The sequence below is a fragment of the Homo sapiens genome, chromosome 8 (genome assembly GCF_000001405.40).
Source record: "Homo sapiens chromosome 8, GRCh38.p14 Primary Assembly".
NCBI classification, from domain to species: Eukaryota; Metazoa; Chordata; class Mammalia; order Primates; family Hominidae; genus Homo; species Homo sapiens.
The window spans coordinates 7028038-7029885 of NC_000008.11; the positions used below are offsets into that span (position 1 = coordinate 7028038).

The 1848-nt window shown below is 44.9% G+C and overlaps 1 pseudogene across 1 annotated transcript; it reads right to left on the bottom strand.

The window, feature by feature from the left end:
* Nucleotides 1-563: 563 nt before the first annotated feature.
* Nucleotides 564-1452, bottom strand: DEFA11P (defensin alpha 11, pseudogene; annotated as a pseudogene). Its single transcript, NR_073421.2, has 2 exons — nt 1280-1452; nt 564-691 (listed from the first exon to the last, which is right to left on the bottom strand). The product of NR_073421.2 is annotated as a defensin alpha 11, pseudogene (transcript).
* Nucleotides 1453-1848: the final 396 nt, after the last annotated feature.

Here is a 1848-nt window from a genome sequence, read left to right on the forward strand (position 1 = left end):
TGAGCCACCACACCTGGCCCATTACAGCTTTCTTAACTGTTCATTCCAATCTCAATTAAATTTTTTTCAATAGAGCTGTGACAACCCCAGGTCTTCAAAGGCAGATGTGTGACCTGGGTCTGTTCAATGAAACTCCAACACTTCAGGAAAGAACATGGTGGTTTTTTCCCTAAGAAGTAGCGATGTTATGATTGTGTAAACTGAAAGCTGATAATGACTGTTTTTCCTAACACATGGGAGTTACGTTTGAGTGAATCCAATCAAAGTGAAGCAGAGTGAAAAGACAGAGAAGTAGAAGGAGAAATTGGCAGCATAATTTGTGCTTGTAAATCAGTTTGTGTCTGAAGCCAATGTTTGTCCTTGATATTCTTAGAATTTGGAGTTGTATTTTGCTTAAAAAGCTTAATTTAGGATTCTGGTGCTTGCATCCCAAAGAGTCTTGACTAAGAGGTGCATTAAACACCAAACAGGTACAAACACAAACTTGCTACAAAGACTTTATTAGGAATAAGGGAAGAAATTGAAGACAAGGTAAAGGAGTAATAAAAGTTCTCCTCTAGATCTCAAAGCAAATGATGAACACATTTTCCTCTGTGCTCCATGATCCCACTATTGGTGCAGGTCCCATAGCGGTGTTTGGAAAAATGACAGCCTGATATTCTGCCATAGCAGACCAAGCCCGTCGCTGAGCCTGAAGACACAGAGAAAGCATCAGGCATTGGGACTGGGGTCAGACGCGGTTGGTAAGGAGAATCCCCGTGCAGTTACTTACTGGGCTGATTGCATTCATCATGGTGGCCACACCACAGCAGCAGCAAGATCAGCTCAATCAATAGGAATCAACGTACACAGCAGTGCTGCTCACAGGCAGGATTAGAGACTTATTCTCATTTGCTCACTTTTTGTGATGCTGCTTCTTCACACACACATTTGAGTACACCCTTAGGTCCCTTCCCATTTGTGAAGCTCCTCTAACAAACAAAGTGAAATATGTTTCTTTCCAAGTGGGTTCTCATCCTCGATGCCAGAGAGACTCCCCAGCGTGTTTCCACATAGCATAAGATTACTAAATTTCACTGACTTTTCACAGAATCAAATACCTTTGGAGGAGCAATGTCCATTGAATATCATCTGATTCTGTCTTTTCAGTCTACACTTGAGGAAATTGAGGCCTGGAGAGGTGATCACCTAAGAGAAAGAACCAGCTATTGGGTCTGATTCTAGCGGTGCCTGGTTTTCCTCTCTAGACTCCTGGCTCTGCAGTGCTGGTGGCTCTCACCTGAATCTCTAAAACCTGAGCTTATGTCCCCTGTGAAGGAGATGGCAAAGTCCTGGTGGTCTGCCCCAAGCTGCTCCTGGGCTGCAGCCTAGTCAGCTCTTGCCTGGAGTGGCTCAAGCCAGGGCCTGGAGTGGCACCAGGAGAATGGCAGCGAGGAGGGTGAGGGTCCTCATGGCTGGGGTCACCTGGAGGATGGAGAGCAGGAGTGGATGTGTGGGGAGTGATAAGCCAGCTTGGATTTATAGCTCTGCTGGGAGAAGGCTCAGAGACAGATGCTGCAGTGAGAGGAGGTGGAGCATGTGATTGGGGAAGGGAAGGGCTGCCTTTGCCATCAAGATCCCTTTGATGCTCTTCTGTTCTCCGAGCTTTTATCATAGCATGAGTCTGCTTATCGAGTGTCTGTTCTGGGTCCAAGCCAATAGTGATGATTAGGATCATGCTATAATTTCCTGTGTCTCATCTGCTGGAACATTTACTTCTTAATATTCAAAAAAGAAAAGAAACACTGCTCTTATTCCATAAGTTCAGGCAATAAATGCCTCTTATTTTCTGAAGATGAGCCCTGCTAT